We start from the raw sequence: 16,965 nt of genomic DNA, 5'->3' as shown, positions 1-16,965 counted from the left end.
ATGCTAATTTGAAACAGACTTAAAAGTCTCCCCTTAAGTACCAATTGTGAAATAATACAGATCCCCTTTCATGCCCAATTTTTGCTTTTTTTTTTCCTTCAAGAATTGAGTAATTTCTATGCAGGCAGGCATAGAAATTACAAACATCATTTACTATTTTGCCACGTGGTGGCGCTGCTGCCACTGGTAAACAAAACACCCACCTTTGGTACATTTTCTGTGAACACACACACACAGTGATCTTGGTGCTCTTGCCACACTTGTTACAATTCAGACTCCTTCTAACTTCCTGTTGTCAACCAAGCTCTCCTTGAGCAATGATGCTTGTCCTGGTGCTGAAAAACGTGCTAAAAAATAGAGAGGAAGTTAAATGTAATTTTAAAAAATCATGGCATACTGTGTTGTTCATTTACTAGAAAACAGTGTGCAAAACATCAGGTCTAACAAAAATATGAGAAATAACTTTAGAGATCATCTCCCTACGGTCAGGCTTGCTCTGTTTCAGGAGGGCAGGGATGCCACTGAATCCCAGCATCCTGCACAATGCCTACCACAGAGTAGACAAAAAATAAATATTTGTTGAATAAAAAATGAACATGGAAAAAGATGACTGCCCTATAACTCCCAACAATATTACCTCACCTTTACCTCTACACAGAGACTAATAACAAGTTTCTAAAATCAAATTCCAAATTCTTAGGACAAGGTTCTGAATAGTCCAACTGGGGCTAACCGCTCATTCTTGGTCTAATCAATTGTGCCCAAAGAAAGTCCAAATGGCCCTCAGAGGCTCGCTGTGGAATGACTGAAGATTTCGAAGGTGGGGCAAAACTGTCGATTGTATGAATAATAGATTTCAGATGCATATACAACTACTTTTCAAATGTTTGGAGATGCTGCTGTGATTGATAGGCTATTATATTTCTCATTGTGATAAATACACATAACTTAAAATTCACCATTTTAGCAATTTTAAGTGTACAGTTCAGTGGCTTTAAGTACATTCACATTGTTGTGCAACCATTGCTACCATCGATCTCCAGAACTTTTTCTCCTTCCCAAATCGAAACTCTGTACAGTAACTTCCCTTTCCTCTCTCCCCTTGGTCCGGCAACCTCCATTCTACCTTCTGTCTCTATGAACTTGACTAGTCTAGGTACCTTACATAAATGGATTCATACAGTAACTGTCCCTTTGTGATTAGCTTATTTCACTCAGCATAACGTCTTCAAAGTTCATCCATGTTGTAGCATGTGTCAGAATTTCCTTCCTTTTTAAGTCTGAGTAATATTCCATTATATGTCCATACCACAGTGTTTATCCATTCATATGTCCACGGGCACTTGAGTTGCTTCTAGCTTTGGCTATTGTGAATACATAGTCCTATGAATGTTGTCAAAACATTCTTGAACTTAAAGCAGCTCTTGTCATTATGCATGCTCTGAATCAGTTGTCCTAAAAATACACCTACTATCATGTGGGGATCAGCAGAAAGACTGCCCTTAAAGGAGTCTTCATGCTTGACATCTTTTTAAATCTTAGAGCAGGAATATTGATATGGAAGGGGGGCAGGGAAGTGCTGGGAAGGGAAGGGCAGATCCCTGGTGAGGACTCCACCCCCGGGCCTGTGCCCATGGACCTAGGTGAGGACAAGCATTTTAGTTTTCCTGTCCAAATGTTCCATTTCCCAAGACCACCTTGGCCCCACCATGCCCCCATCCTGTGCTTATAAAAACCCCCAAGACCCTAGCAGGAGACACATAGGCGGCTGGACGTCGAGAGAAGCACATCAGTGGAGGAACACACGAGCGGCTGGACTTTGAGAGGAACACATCCACAGGAACTTGCATGCCACTGACTGGTAGAAGCAGAACGGCTTGGAGTTTGGCTGGGGCAGTCGGAGGAAAGCCCAGGCCACAGAGCAGCCTGACTCCAGGGGAAAACCTTCCCACTCCATCCCTCTTATAACTTCCCCCTTCTGCTGAGAGTTACCTCCACTCAATAAAACCTTGCACTCATTCTCCAAGCCCAGGTGTGATCCGATTATTCTGGTACACCAAGACAAGAACCCAGGATACAGAAAGCCCTCTGTCCTTGCAACAAGGTAGAGGGGCTAATTGAACTGGTTAACACAAGCCGCCTGTAGGCAGCAAAACTAAAAAAGCACACGGTAGCACGTTGGCGCTTCAGGAGCTGTAAACATCCACCCCTAGACACTGCCATGGGGTCAGAGCCCCACAACCTGCCCGTCTGTATGCTCCCCTAGAGATTTGAGCAGCGGGGCACTGAAGAAGCGAGCCACTCCCCCGTCACACGCTTTGCAAGGGGGACAAGGGAACTTTTCCCATTTCAGTATCTTCAGAGGAGAGGAATTAGTGTTGTGGTTGTGTTGTATTGTGTTGTGTTGTGTTGTGTTGTGTTGTACAGTCTCGCTCTGTCGCCCAGGCTGGAGTGCAGTGGTGTGATCTTGGCTCACTGCAAGCTCCGCCTCCTGAGTTCACGCCATTTTCCTGCCTCAGCCTCCCGCGTAGCTGGGACTACAGGAGCTCGCCACCACGCCCGGCTAATTTTTTGTATTTTTAGTAGAGATGGGGTTTGACTGTGTTAGCCAGGATGGTCTCGATCTCCTGACCTCGTGATCTGCCCGCCCCGGCCTCCCAAAGTGCTGGGACTACAGGCGTGAGCCACCGCGCCCAGCCGTGGTGCATCTTAAAATTATTTTTTGGGAAAAAGGAATGATGCCAATTAAAATCGTCCTCCTGGATTACTTAAGCCCAGGAGTCTGAGGCTGCAGTGAGCTATGATCACAGCACTGCACTCCAGCCTGGGCAACAGAGCAAGACCCTGTCTTGAAAAAAAAGAAAAAATAATCCTCCTGGAGAAGAGCAGACCTGAGGAAGCTATGGGAGCTGTTGACAAGGAACAAAGACTTTTTCCTTGTGACCACTTAAGCAGAGAAGAAAGCTTTGGAAAGAGGCACAAAGCAACAGATTTTTATTTCAACCCAATGTACAAAATAATTTTTTAAACTCTAAAGCTTTTTCCTTGTTTAACAAGAGAACAATCTACCTCAATGAAATGAGTATTTGTGTGTGAAGACACATAGACAGATGCTGACTGATTTAGAAAGGATTCCAGAATTTGGGGAAAAGCTGCAGCATTTAAGCTATGTGTGACTTATAAGACTTCTTTTTACCCCCAACATTCTCTGTTTTTCTAATGACTGAAACATCAGTTAAAAAAAAAGTCAAAAGTGGCCACAGTTGTAAAGTTTCAAAAGTAAGTAATTAATCAGTGTAAACTTGCTTTGCTATCTGTTTTAGTCCATTTTCACACTGCTATAAATAACTTCCCTGACACTGGGTAATTTATAAAGGAAAGAGGTTTAATTGAATCATAGTTCCAAATGGCTGGGGAGGCCTCACGAAACTTACAATCATGGCAAAAGGGGAAGCAGGCACAACTTACATGGCGCCAGGCGAGAGATTAATGCTGCAAAGGGGGAATTTCCAAACACTTTTAAAGCCATCAGCTCTTGTGAGAACTCCCACACCATCATGAGAACAGCATGGGGAAAAGCTTCCCCATAATCCAGTCGCCTCCCACCAGGTCCCTCCGGGATTACAATTCGAGATGAGATTTGGGTGGGGACACAAAGCCACACCATATCACTATTAGTGCCATATCCTCCAGATGAAGTTGGAATCTGATATGCTATCTATTCAATGCTGTTAAGAAAGCCACACAACTCTCAGAGGGGGAAACATTATCTAACATTGTAGGGACAGGAGCCACAAAAGATCACCAGGCAAACTTGGGCCTAAACTAAAGGGTCCCTCATCTCATTTGTATATTAAACTAGGAAAATACCCTGATAAATCCAGCTCAAAATTATGCAGATATCAGAGCCTTGTTCCATTTCTGGTTAATAAGAATTAATTACTCCAATTTGGCCAGTTTACTGGACTTTGAATTTTAGTTTTTCTCCTGTGATTTCTCATTTCCTTTTTCATTAAAACTTGTGGAAAAATGCTTCAAGAAGCTGTGGGTGGGCCGGGCGCAGTGGCTCACTCCTGTAATCCCAGCACTTTGGGAGGCCAAGGCTGGTGGATCATGAGGTCAGGAGTTCGAGAACAGCCTGGCCAAGATGGTGAAACCCTGTCTCTACTAAAAATACAAAAATTAGCCAGGCGTGGTGGCACACACCTATAGTTCCAGCTACTTGGGAGGCTGAGGCAGGAGAATCGCTTGAACCCAGGAGGCAGAGGTTGCAGTCAGCCGAGATCATGCCATTGCACTGCATTTTCGGCGACAAGAGCGCAACTCGGTCTAAAAAAAAAAAAAAAGAAAAGAAACTATGGGTAAGCAGACAATTCTTATACTTCATAGTTGGAAAATAAATTGGTACAACCTCCCTTGAATGTCTATTTGGCCATAGCTGTCAAAATGTGAAGTGCTCATACCCTTTAACCCAGCAATTCTGCTTGTAGGAATTTACCTTCTAGATGCACTCTCACATAGGTAAAGAAGGTGTGCAGCAAAAGACCAAAAATGCCCTTAATATCCATCAATATGGGACTTTTTTAAATTAAAAGTATTATAATTCTAACAAGCAGTAAAATTTTTCCCTTTCATGTACAAAAATCATTAAATCTATAACCTATTTCTTCTTAGAAACCAATGAAAATGTACTCAAAAATGTGGCATTGAACACGTTATTAATGTCAACTAATATTGACATTACTAATATTCAAAGATTATTGTCATCAAGCATCCACAAGGCTCTACTTGCCTTTTTGTAAAAATAAAATCAAAATTATTCTCAGCTTATTTCAAAACTGTCGTGATAAAGTGATATTACACTGGTGCAGATGTGATTGCGGTTTTCCCATTGAAAGTAATGGCAAAACGGCAATCACTTTTTTTCTTTCTTTCATTTTATTTTTTTTTTTATTATACTTTAAGTTTTTAGGGTACATGTGCACAACGTGCAGGTTTGTTACATATGTATACATGTGCCATGTTGGTGTGCTGCACCCATTAACTCTTAATTTAACATTAGGTATATCTCCTAATGCTAATCCCTCCCCCTTCCCCCTACCCCACAACAGGCCCCGGTGTGTGATGTTCCCCTTCCTGTGTCCATGTATTCTCATTGTTCAATTCCCACCTATGAGTGAGAACATGCGGTGTTTGGTTTTTTGTCCTTGCGAGAGTTTGCTGAGAATGATGGTTTCCAGCTTCATCCATGTCCCTACAAAGGACATGAACTCATCATTTTTTATGGCTGCATAGTATTCCATGGTGTATATGTGCCACATTTTCTTAATCCAGTCTATCATTGTTGGACATTTGGCTTGGTTCCAAGTCTTTGCTATTGTGAGTAGTGCTGCAATAAACATACGTGTGCATGTGTCTTTATAGCAGCATGTTTTATAATCCTTTGGGTATATACCCAGTAATGGGATGGCTGGGTCAAATGGTATTTCTAGTTCTAGATCCCTGAGGAATTGCCACACTGACTTCCACAGTAGTTGAACTAGTTAACAGTCCCACCAACAGTGTAAAGGTGTTCCTATTTCTCCACATCCTCTCCAGCACCTGTTGTTTCCTGACTTTTTAATGATTGCCATTCTAACTGGTATGAGATGGTATCTCATTGTGGTTTTGATTTGCATTTCTCTGATGGCCAGTGATGATGAGCATTTTTTCATGTGTCTTTTGGCTGCATAAATGTCTTCTTTTGAGAAGTGTCTGTTCATATCCTTTGCCCACTTTTTGATGGTGTTGTTTTTTTCTTGTAAATTTGTTTGAGTTCATTGTAGATTCTGGATATTAGCCCTTTGTCAGATGAGTAGATTGCAAAATTTTTCTCAATGTGGGACTCTTAAGAAGGTTTGGTATGGCATGCCCGAAGAATGCTCTCTGTAGAGGTGGGGGCTGAAATGCTATGCCACTGTTAGAAGAATGAGGGAGATCTTTCTGTACTGACTTAGAACTTGCTCCAAGATACACTATCACATGACAAAAGCAAGGTACAGAACCTTAAGTTTTTTTTTTTAAGGCATCTATAGATATATCATATACAACTGTGTGGCAGGCAGCTTCTAAGATGGCCCCCGGTGATCTCCTACTCCTGGTGCCCATGCCCTTATTTAATCCTCTCCCCTTAAATATGGTTCAACCCAGGAATTTGCTTCTAACAAACAGAACACAGCAAATGTGATAGGATATCACTTCCGAAATTAGGTTACCAAGAAACTTTGGCTTCTAGTCTTGCTTGCCTTTTCTGGCTCTTCTCTCTTATTTACTCGATGAAGCCAACTGTCATGCTGTGAGGTGTCCTATGGAGAGGACCGTGTAACAAGAAACTGAGGGAAGCCTCAGGCCAAAAGCCAGTGAAGAAATGAGGCCCTCGGCCCAACAACGTGTGAGGAACTAAATCCTGCCAAGAACCCCTTGAGAGAGCCTGACAGCAGATCCTCCCGAGCTGAGACATGAGCTGACTGCAGCACCAGCTGACAGCTTGACTACATCCTTGGGAAAGCCCCAGCGCTGGGGGCCTAGCTAAGCTGCTGCATTCCTCACCCACAGAAAATGTGAGATAATAAATGTTTGTTGTTTTGAGCCACTAAGTTCTGGGTAATCTGCTACGTAGCAGTAGATAACTAATATAACGTGTATTTGTTTATGCATATACACAATATATTTATTTAAAAACTGGCAACTGTGCTTGCCACTAGGAAAGCCATCTTTAGCTTCTGAGGGTCAGGGGTGGGAGGAAATTTACTTTTCACTCCCCATTCTTTGGTCTATTTTAATATATTGTTTATTCAACAAACAGGTAAATAGGTCAATACTTTTTTTGTTTTTGCAAATAGAGAAAAATGATTATTTTATAAGATGGACAATTTTTTTGATATGCCATGTTTTCATAAGAGGACAAAAGCCACACTGAAATAACCAATTAAGTTATCCACATAACTGAATGTAGGCTTTGAAAAATTACATTTGATCTGTGTATTTGGCTCAGGAGAGGTGGATTGTAAATTATTTTCTTTAACCACTAGAGGGCACATTGCATTTGGTTGTCTTTCAATTTCATGTAACTGAAATGTATATTACAAGAGAATGTCAAAGAATAAGAGAAATGTGCTTTTATTTTTTCTTTTGAGACAGAGTTTTGCTCTTATTGCTCAGGCTGGAGTGCAATGGCGTGATGTTGGCTCACTGCAACCTCCGCCTCCCCCCGGCTCCCCCTGCCCTGGGTTCAAGTGATTCTCCTGCCTGCCTCAGCCTCCCAAGTAGCTGGGATTATAGGCGCCCACCACCATGCCCGGCTACTTTTTTGTGTTTTTAGTAGAGATGGGGTTTCACCATATTGGCCAGGCTGGTCTCGAACTCCAGACCTCAGGTGATCCACCCACCTAGGCCTCCCAAAGTGCTGGAATACAGGGGTAAGCCACCATGCCCAGCCGAAATGTGCATTTTAAATGTAAATATTTTAGAAAAATACTTTGATGAACTTAATGATAAACATTTAAGCATGAAGAAAAAGACAAAGTAGAGGGAAAAAATAATTCTTGAAACCTAAAAACTGGTAAATCCAGATACTGTACTTGACAATCAAATAAATGAATACAATTTTTTTTCAGTTACTAAGTGGAAAGATAGTAATTCCGAGTCTCTAGGAAGCAAAAACAGTTGCAGCAGCAGGAAGAGCTGTATCGTGAAGTGCAGGCAAAGACACTTTATGGAGTTGTGATAAGAGGAAATTCATACATAAAGAGAAGTTTTAAAATGTCTTATTTCATTTTATTTGGTGGGTAATATATTTATATCATAAAATTTTAAAGGTACAAAATAGTATACAGTGAGAGATAGAGTCGGCCTTCTCCCTACAATGCATTTGCCCTCCTTGGAAGTTACCACTGTTACTGATTTCTTATATATCCTTCAAAAAAAAAATCGATACACTTGTAAATATATGTCAGCAAATATATTGAGTTTTTTGCCCCCACAGAAATGGCAGTGTGCTACATACATGGTTGTTACTTTCTTTTTCTTTTTCTAAACTTACCAATAATTTAGAGATCCTTCTACATCTGACATAGAGACCTGTCTTATTATTGTTAGCAGTTGTCTGCTATTAAAGTTACATTATTTTATAATTTGATTGAAATGATACCCATAATTTATTTAATCAGTCTCTATAAATTGACATTTAAATTGACTCCAGTCTCTTACTTTTGTAAACACTACTGCAATGGATGCCCTTTTACATATATCATTTTGCAATGTGTATTTCTGTAGGATAAATACTGGGATTTAGTCAGAGGATATACACAATTAAAGTTGTCACAGACACTGCCGATTTGTCTTCCATAAAGGTTGTGCCAATCAAATTCCCAACCCCTTGTCTTCCCATACCTTGCCCCACATCGTTTGAACCTGATTTTTTTTTTTTTAATCTTGGCCAGTCCGCTAGGTGAAGAATGGTATGTCCTTATATTTTGCTTTGTGTTTTTCTTATTATAAGTGAGTTGAGCACCTTTTCATGTGTTTAAGAGAAGGGCTTGTCTTAATCAGGCCAAACTTTACTATAAAAAGGGGTAAAATGTTAAGGTATTATTAGCCAAGTTAAGACTAGAGGGAGAAGTACATTTTAATGAGGGAAAAAAGAACCTGGGAAAGTCCTGAACTATCCTCATAACAAGGCCCTCTGCATCACTCCTCCACCCCTCTACCTGACCGCTTTCTGGGCTGGAACCCCAGTGCCTTGGCAGAGCCCATGACAGTTCTCCCCATCAAGCTGAGATAAGGCCAAATACCACCTGGGACCAAAATGTAGCAATGTGAGGCCATCATTTCCAAAGTGCCTTTTATCTTCATAATCCTCAGCCCTGCTTTGACCTGGTGCCCCTCTCAACCTTTTCCCTGCACTTTTTTAGATCAGCTCTGTCCAAAAGGAATATAACATGAGCCACATATGTAATTTTAAGTTTTCTAGTAGCTATATTTTAAAAAGTAGAAACAGTTGTAATATAAATAAAATATATAGGTACACTATATCTAAAACATTTCAACTTGTAATCAGTATTAAAAATTATTGAGATACTTTACACTGTTTTTATACCAAGTCTTTGTAATCCAGTGTGTATTTATTTCCACTCACAGCACATCTCAGTTCAGACTGGCCACATTTCAAGGGCTCAGCAGCAGCATGTGGGTAGACCTGCACTGTCTAACTGAACTTTCTGCAATGATGGAAATGTCAGATCCTTGTCTCCACATAAATATCTTCTGCCCTCATACATTCAGTCTGTCCCAGGAGCACTTTTCCTCGTGAATAGGATCCTGGCACTCTCCTAAGTCACTCTACAACCTTTTGGCATTTCTATTGGAGACCATTTATTCTTCCGCACCCCATGTTACCAGTCCCAAGTTCCTCAGGCACTTCAGTCTAGATCTGAGACTATGAGAAACATAACTACACATGTAGCTATTTAAATTAAATTTAATTAAAAATTAAGTTCCTCAGTTGCACTAGCCACATTTCAAATGCTCAATAGCCACATGTGGCCAGTGGCCACTACATTGGACAGTCCAGGTCTGAACTATTTCTCTTGCACTATCAGATAAAAGTCCTCTCTCCTGCCGTGCAGATCAGCTCTAGAACCTCCAGCCATCCCTTCTAGAAGTCATGGAGCTGCCTCCATTGATAAAGAATTCTGGAGGCTCCCCCTCATTCCTTGTAGCCTTCAGAGCTACCCCTCAGTGTCTTACCCCAGCTCCCAGCACCCCACATCCCAGCTTTTGAACATCTGTGTACATCTAGGTAACAGCCTGGCTGAACATTTCTTGTACCTCCTGAACTCCAACCTCACTTTCATTCCATTTCGGTCACCAGCTCCCAGAACCTGACCCTTGATCTGGTCATCGCCAGACAATACCAATCCCAGAAAGCTTTTTTATTCCTTCATTTATAAGTAATTAACAAGTAGCGCATACTACATTCTTCTTGGGAAAAAAAAAATGAACCATGAAGCTAAAGGGAAAGTCCCTCTTGGCCATCCCACCCCCACTACCATTTCAGGCCCCCCTCTCAAGCCCTTCTCCTGAGGCCATCCCCCTTGTTTTTCTAGACATGGATGAGCATGTGCACACTGTTCTGCTACTTGCTTGTTTTTCTGAGCAATATCTCTTGCAGACCTTTTCATGTCAGTATATGCAGACCCACCTCTTCCTCGTTATATGCATATGGGGGGAACGGGTAATACATTTATATGGTTAAAACCCAAAAAAGAATAAAAAGATGTGCAATGAAAAGTTTCCCTCCCTATTCCTGTCCCTTGTCTACACAGTTCTCATACTAGTTTCCTAGGTAACCACCATTGTTTGTTTCTCATGACAAATAATTATTCTTCATGCATTTCCATCAAATATGAATATAGGTTATTTTTCCCCATTCGGCACACAATTTATGCATATTTTATGGCACTGTTCTGAAGCTTGAAGTGCCTTTCCACGTCTTTCAGAACATCTATTAAAGCATCTTTGTCCTTTTTACAGAGGCATGGTATTCCCCTGGATGGCTATACTATAATTTAACCAGAGCCCTGTCAATGGAGTATTGGTTTGTTTTCAATGTTTACTATTACAATCAGTGCTATAATAGAGAACCTTGTACCTATATTACTTTCCATCTGTGTAAATATGTCTGCAGCATAAAGTCCCCAAAGGGAAACTGCACAGTCAAAGGGTATTTGAGTAGCTAATTTTGATAGATTTTGCCAAACTGCCTTCCACAGGAGCTGTGCCAATTTATACTCCATCAGTGCATATCTTGGTCTTTTTTGTTTATTTTAGAGATGGAGTCTCGCTCTGTCACCCAGGCTGGAGTGCAGTAGTGTAATCACAGCTCACTGCAGCCTCAAAGTCCTGAGCTCAAGCAATCCTCATCTCAGCATCCCCAGTAGCTAGGACTACAGGTGCATGCCACCGCACTCAGCAAATTTTTAAGTTTTTTTGTAGGGATGCGTCTTGCTATGTTCCCCAGGCTGGTCTCACACTTCTGGCTTCAAGTGATCCTCCTGCCTCAGCTTCCCAAAGTGCTGGGATTACAGACGTGAGCCACAGTGCCTGGCCTATCTTGATCTTTTTAACTGCTGCATAATATTCTTAAGTACAGAGAATACACCCCAAAGTGTATAGGCCCCTCCTACTGATGCAAGACATAAGGTTGTTTTCAACTGTTTTATTACAAGCAATGCTACATATGCTTATATGTGCTTCCTTGTGCATGTATTTCTCTTGAATAAAGAAAATGAAGAGAGCAAAGGAAGCAGCTGGTGGAAAGGCTCTCAGGTGGAACAGAGCTGAGAGAGAGAAGCGTGAGGGAGCCTTTGTGGCTGGAGCCAGAGAGTAGTGATGGGGAGGTCAGAGTCTTCAGGGCAGATGTGGGGGCAGGGGTTGGAATAGGGCATGGAGGCCATGGTAAGGTTTTGCAGTTTATTCTAAGGTCAAAATTATCTGATTTACATTTTAGAAGACCACTGGCTGCTGCACGGAAGATGGTTTAAAGTGAAGGGGCGAAGGCAGGAGACCAGGCAATCTGAGAACAGGCATCAGCGGCCTGGCTGAGGTGAAATGAATAAATCCTTAGCAGGTTGCACCAAATGGGAAGTAAATGTAACAGGAAGTGTCCTGCTCCCAACAGAGACCACTGAGAGGAGTCTGCAGAGTGCAATGATGGACACAAGAATCAACAAGACAGACACAGCCTCTGCCCTCTTACTCTCTAAGAAGGGATACAGAGATTAAGCAAATAATTGCAGGTATAAACAACAGTCCACCTACAGTGTGACAGGGAAGAGAATAGAGGCTTTGAAGTCAGATTGCTCTGAATTTCTAACTCTGCTCCCCGACTTGCAAGCTGTGTTCCTTTGGTCAGGACAGTCTCTCTCTCTCTCTCTCTCCCTCTCTCTCTCTCTGTGTGTGTGTGTGTGTGTGTCTCCCTCTCTCTTTTTCTCCCTTCCCCCCAACCCAGCCCTCCCTCCTCTCCTCTCCCTCTCATCCGATTTCTTCATCTGTAAGGGTTAGCGAGAGGATTAAATGAGATCATTTTTGAAAAGCACCTAGCACTGGTAAAAAGGAGATAATTATATTGGGTGAATGAATGGAAAAAACCTTCCCCTTTATTTACCGTCTGTCTTCATGTACCCCTGTCGGCCATTCCAGGCAATCATTTTGATTCTAAATTCCTACTACCTCCTCCAACTACAGAATGTGGTTATCAGTGGAGTCAACGGGTTCATTAGCTCTTTGCATGTGGTTTTGCCAGAATCATCAGTTGCCAACTAATGCAAATTAATTGTTTACACTCCTTTGGGTTTATTCTTTTCCCACTGTTATTCTTTTTAAAAATAAAGTTATTTCTTTTCCGTTTTCCCCCCTTTTATTATCAGGAAATTTGAAATAGACTAGGAACAGTAGATGGAAGAATTAATTTATTTGATTAATGGATACCAAATTATTATGGTTAAGTTTTTTGTTTCAGACCACAGCTCCATGGGGACATTAATAAATGTGATTGCTTTTGCTAGAATATTCGTTAATCCTGTGGTTTAGTGTGCTGATAATGGGACATGCTGCTCCACTGACTTTTAATGAGCTTATTCCACTGGCTAGCAGAAAAGCAACAAAAATAATTTTACAAACATATACATGTTTAGAGGACTAAGGGAGTTTTAAAATCTCCTTATGCTCTCAGTATATTCCACCAAGGTGTACGTAAACATAACTTCTTTTTCCTTTTCTCACAGGCTTTTTTCGATAGATCTTTTTTAAATTTAAAATAAAAATCTGAGGAATAGTTGCTATGGACTGAATGATGTCCCCCACAAAATTCCTATGATGAAGCTCTAATCCCCATGTGGCTGTATTTGAAAATAGAGCTTGAGAGGAAGTGATAAAGGTTAAATGAGGTCATATGAGTAGGGCTCTGATGCAGTAGAGCTGGTGCCCTTATAAGATGAGGAAGAGATCCCAGAGCTCCCTCTCTCTGCCATGTGAAAAGGCAGCTGTCTGCAAGCCAGGGAGAGAAGGCTCCTTGGAAACCAACCCTACCAGACCTTGACCTGGGACTTCTGCGCCCTAGAACTGTGAGAAAATAAATACCAGTTGTTTAAGCCACGCAGTCTATGGTACTTTGTTATGGCAGCCCTAGCCGACAAGTCCTAAAACAATATGATTTAGTCTGAGCTATTGGGATATTAAAAGACTTCATCTGGCTTGAATGCCTTAATTAAGATAACTTGTTTTTAGTAGTTATGGGACCCTGCCTTCTTTGTGAGTATATAATTCAAAACTGACAAAGTAGTATGATGACAAAAGACAGAGTGCCTGTTGATTCAGGTTTTATCCACAATTGTAAGTGAAACAATGTCATTTACAAAATCATCAGGGCTTTCCACTGTAGGACAATAGGTTTCCTACATGTCAAATCAAATGTTAACTCTCATGTTTAACTCTGATATCTTCCTCTTCCCTCATACAAATCTACATAAATCAATGCATGCATATGTAGGGCTGTTTTTTTCCCTGTTTCTTATTTAACAACATGAAATTAAAGCCTTCTGGCTCGAGAGAGTGAACCAAACATACACATTTGCCCCCTGCTGTTCCAGACACCATCACTGTGTAGATATTTCTGATATCTTTAAAAGTGGTAGGGGTGGATAAATTTAAAACATCAAAGAGAACAGAAGAGAAAGCAACCAATGGACAGTACATTTCTGGAAGACAGATAAAACAAAGCAGAAAAAGCCAAAGCCCAGGATACACCCAGGAGGAGGATGCAGAGAAGGTTGAAAGAGAACCCTTGCAACAGTGTTTTACAAGGACATCACATCTAAATGGCTTAGCATGGTGTAATTGCTCAATAAATGTTAACTGTTATGTCATTATTCTGGAACTGGTTTTTGTCACTCAAGGTCAACACATATATGCGTAATTTATTCTTTAGTAGAGTTGTATAATATTCCATAACTTGTTCATCCATTTCCTTATTTAAGAACCTTTCAATATAAAAATTAGCCAGGCATGGTGGCGGGTGCCTGTAATCCCAGCTACTCGGGAGGCTGAGGCAGGAGAATCACTTGAACCCGGGAGGCAGAGGTTGCAGTGAGCTGAGATCGTGCCATTGCACTCCAGCCTGGGCAACAAGAATGAAATTATGTCTCAAAAAAAAAAAAAAAAAAAACCCCTTCAGATTATTTTGTGGGTTTTTTTCCTGAGCATGTGGTCTACAAAAAAAAAAAAAAAAAGGTGCAACAACAACAAAAAATATTGCAACAAATTTCTTTATGCATCTACCCTTTAATTGTTGGTATTTTTTATTTCTGGATTTTCAAAAGTGGAACTGCTGGGTCAAAAGAAAGGTGCAAGTTTAATTTTATTGATTTACCCACTGATTTAACTTTCCCAAGGATTGTGGCAGGTCACACTCTCACCAGCAATGCTGAGGAAAGCCTGTTTGTTAGTCCACTTGCTGTGGACTAAGTCTCCACCAAACTGAGATTATACATCTACTCTCAAGCTACTAAGATACAAAACTGAGATGGGAGCCCAAGCAATCTCACTCTGGACCTTACTCTTCTAACTATTCATACAAACAGCTAATTATGCCAACAGCATTTAATAAACATCCTTTTCCACTTAATTGAAACACAAACTTCATGATTGTCTTAGTCCATTTGTGTTGCTATAAAGGAATACCTGAGGCTTGGTAATCCATAAAGAAAAGAGATTTATTTGGCTCACAGTTCTGCAGGCTGTACAAGAAGGATGGCACCAGCATCTACTTCTGGCAAGGGCTTCAGGAAGCTTTCGCTCATGGTGGCAAGTGAAGGGGAGCCAATATGTGCAGATATCACATGGCGAGACAGAAAGCAAGAGAGAAGGGGGTAGGTGCCAGCTTCTTTCTAACAATCATTTCTTACAGGAAATAACAGAGCAAGAACTCACTCATTACTGTGAAGACAGCACCAAACCATTCATGAGGGATCTGCCCCTGTGACCCAAAACATCTCCCAGTAGGCCTCATCTCCAATATTGGGATCAAATATGGGAATGAATATCCAAACTACATCAATTATACAAGTTCTCAAATATAATCAGTCTGTCTCTGGATTCTATTGCAGTTGAGTTGCAATTATATTGTTTTGATTTTAGTAGCTTTATAGTAAGTGTTACTCTCTCTCCAGTAAGGCAGGAGCTCCCTCACTACTCTTCTAGATTTATCCAATAAACCTTTGCATATTTTTATTCCATACAAACACTTAAATCATTTGTCCAGGTCCAAAGAAAATATACCTGCATGTCTTGACTTGGATTTCATTAAATGTATTTGTTAATTTGTTAAGAATTGATATGTATGTATTAAATCTCTCTTTCCGTGACTATGGTGTAATGTTCTATTTATCTAGGTTCTTCAATAAAATATTAACGTTTCTTTTAATACAGATCTTGTACCTTTATCATTGAATTTGTTCTAAGTTATTTTATAATTTTGTCACTATTGTGAATGGGTTATTTCCCACCATATCTATTTAGACAATTGCTAATATAAAAGAAAACTAACAATTTCGGCATATTTATCTTGTATTCAGCAATTGGGCTAAAATCTCTAATTGTTCTCATTGCTTTTAGTGAAGTCTTTTACATTTTCCAGGTATAATGCAAAAAGTTTATCCTTTTTTCCAATAATTACACCAGTTGTTAAATTTATGGAAAGGAAGTCTTATTACATTAAAGCCTTCAGAAAATATTGAATAATAGTGGTGAATGTGGATATTCCAGCTTTGTCCTTGATTTTAATGGGGGATTTTAATCGTTGATTTTAATTTTTCATTCCATCATATGATGTTGCTGATTGTAATTCATAGTCTTTAATAGGTTTCAGTAGTTTTCTTCTGTTCTTATACTTGGAATTTTTATTTGAAAATCTACTTATTTTGTTTTATTTTCCATCTATTGCCATAATCACATTATCACTTGGTAATATTCTAGATTGTGTTGATATATTTCCTAATGTTATAGAACACTACAATTCTTGATAAGCACTAACATGATCATTCCTATGCTTCTCAAACCATTCCAGACCATGGAAAAAGATGGAAAGCTCTTTAGTTCACTGTATGATTTTGCCATGTCCTTAATACCAAAACCTACCACAAAATATATAACACAAAAATTATAAAACAATCTTACTTATAAAGATCAAAGTAGGCCGGGTGCCATGGCTGATGCCTTTAATCCCAGCACTTTGGGAGGCTGAAGTGGGAGGAATGCTTGAGCCCAGGAGTTCAAGACCAGCCTGGGCAACATGGCAAAACTCCATCTCTACTTTCTATAATTAAAATAAATTAAATTTTAAAAAGATAGAAGTAAACAATTTTAAATAAAATATTAGCAAATTAAATCCAGCAGTGTGTTAAAAAAAATGATATGAGAGTATACTTAGAAAACCCGAGTCAACCAAAAAAAATGAAAAAATTTGAAAAAATGTCTAGATATATGATACATATCAAAAATTAACAGCTTTTCTACACACTAACAACAACCAGTTAGAAATAGAAATATATCCTATTCATACAACAGTTTCATATTTTAAGAGAATTTTTAGAAGAAAAATTATTTTCATTGTTATGTGAAACATAATCTTGAAAACGGAAAGTTAACATGGGTGGAGCACTGCCTGCTGTCTAATGATTAATTCATGGATGACCATTTGGAGATAGAGCCCTGGATTCATCACTGACTCATCAGGTCTCCATTCCTTCAGCTGGGACAAGTGCACCAGCTGAATTCAAAAAACAATCCTGTAATTTCCCAGAAAATACTGATTAAGTTTAATTTCAAAAGAGAATTCATGGACTTAATTTTGTTCAGGTGGCTGATGTT

The 16,965-nt window shown here is 40.0% G+C and overlaps 1 long non-coding RNA gene across 1 annotated transcript in view; it reads right to left on the bottom strand.

The window, feature by feature from the left end:
* PAQR9-AS1 (PAQR9 antisense RNA 1) overlaps positions 1-16,965 on the bottom strand; it is a 37,033-nt gene that overhangs the window by 6,747 nt on the left and 13,321 nt on the right. The window contains exon 3 of the long non-coding RNA NR_125393.1: positions 204-347. This is a non-coding gene — a long non-coding RNA (PAQR9 antisense RNA 1). The remainder of the gene's footprint in view (positions 1-203; positions 348-16,965) is intronic.

This window comes from Homo sapiens, chromosome 3 (assembly GCF_000001405.40).
Source record: "Homo sapiens chromosome 3, GRCh38.p14 Primary Assembly".
In the NCBI taxonomy this organism is placed as follows: Eukaryota; Metazoa; Chordata; class Mammalia; order Primates; family Hominidae; genus Homo; species Homo sapiens.
The sequence above is the reverse complement of the archived record's forward strand: the minus strand, read 5'-3'. Positions and strand labels throughout refer to the sequence as shown.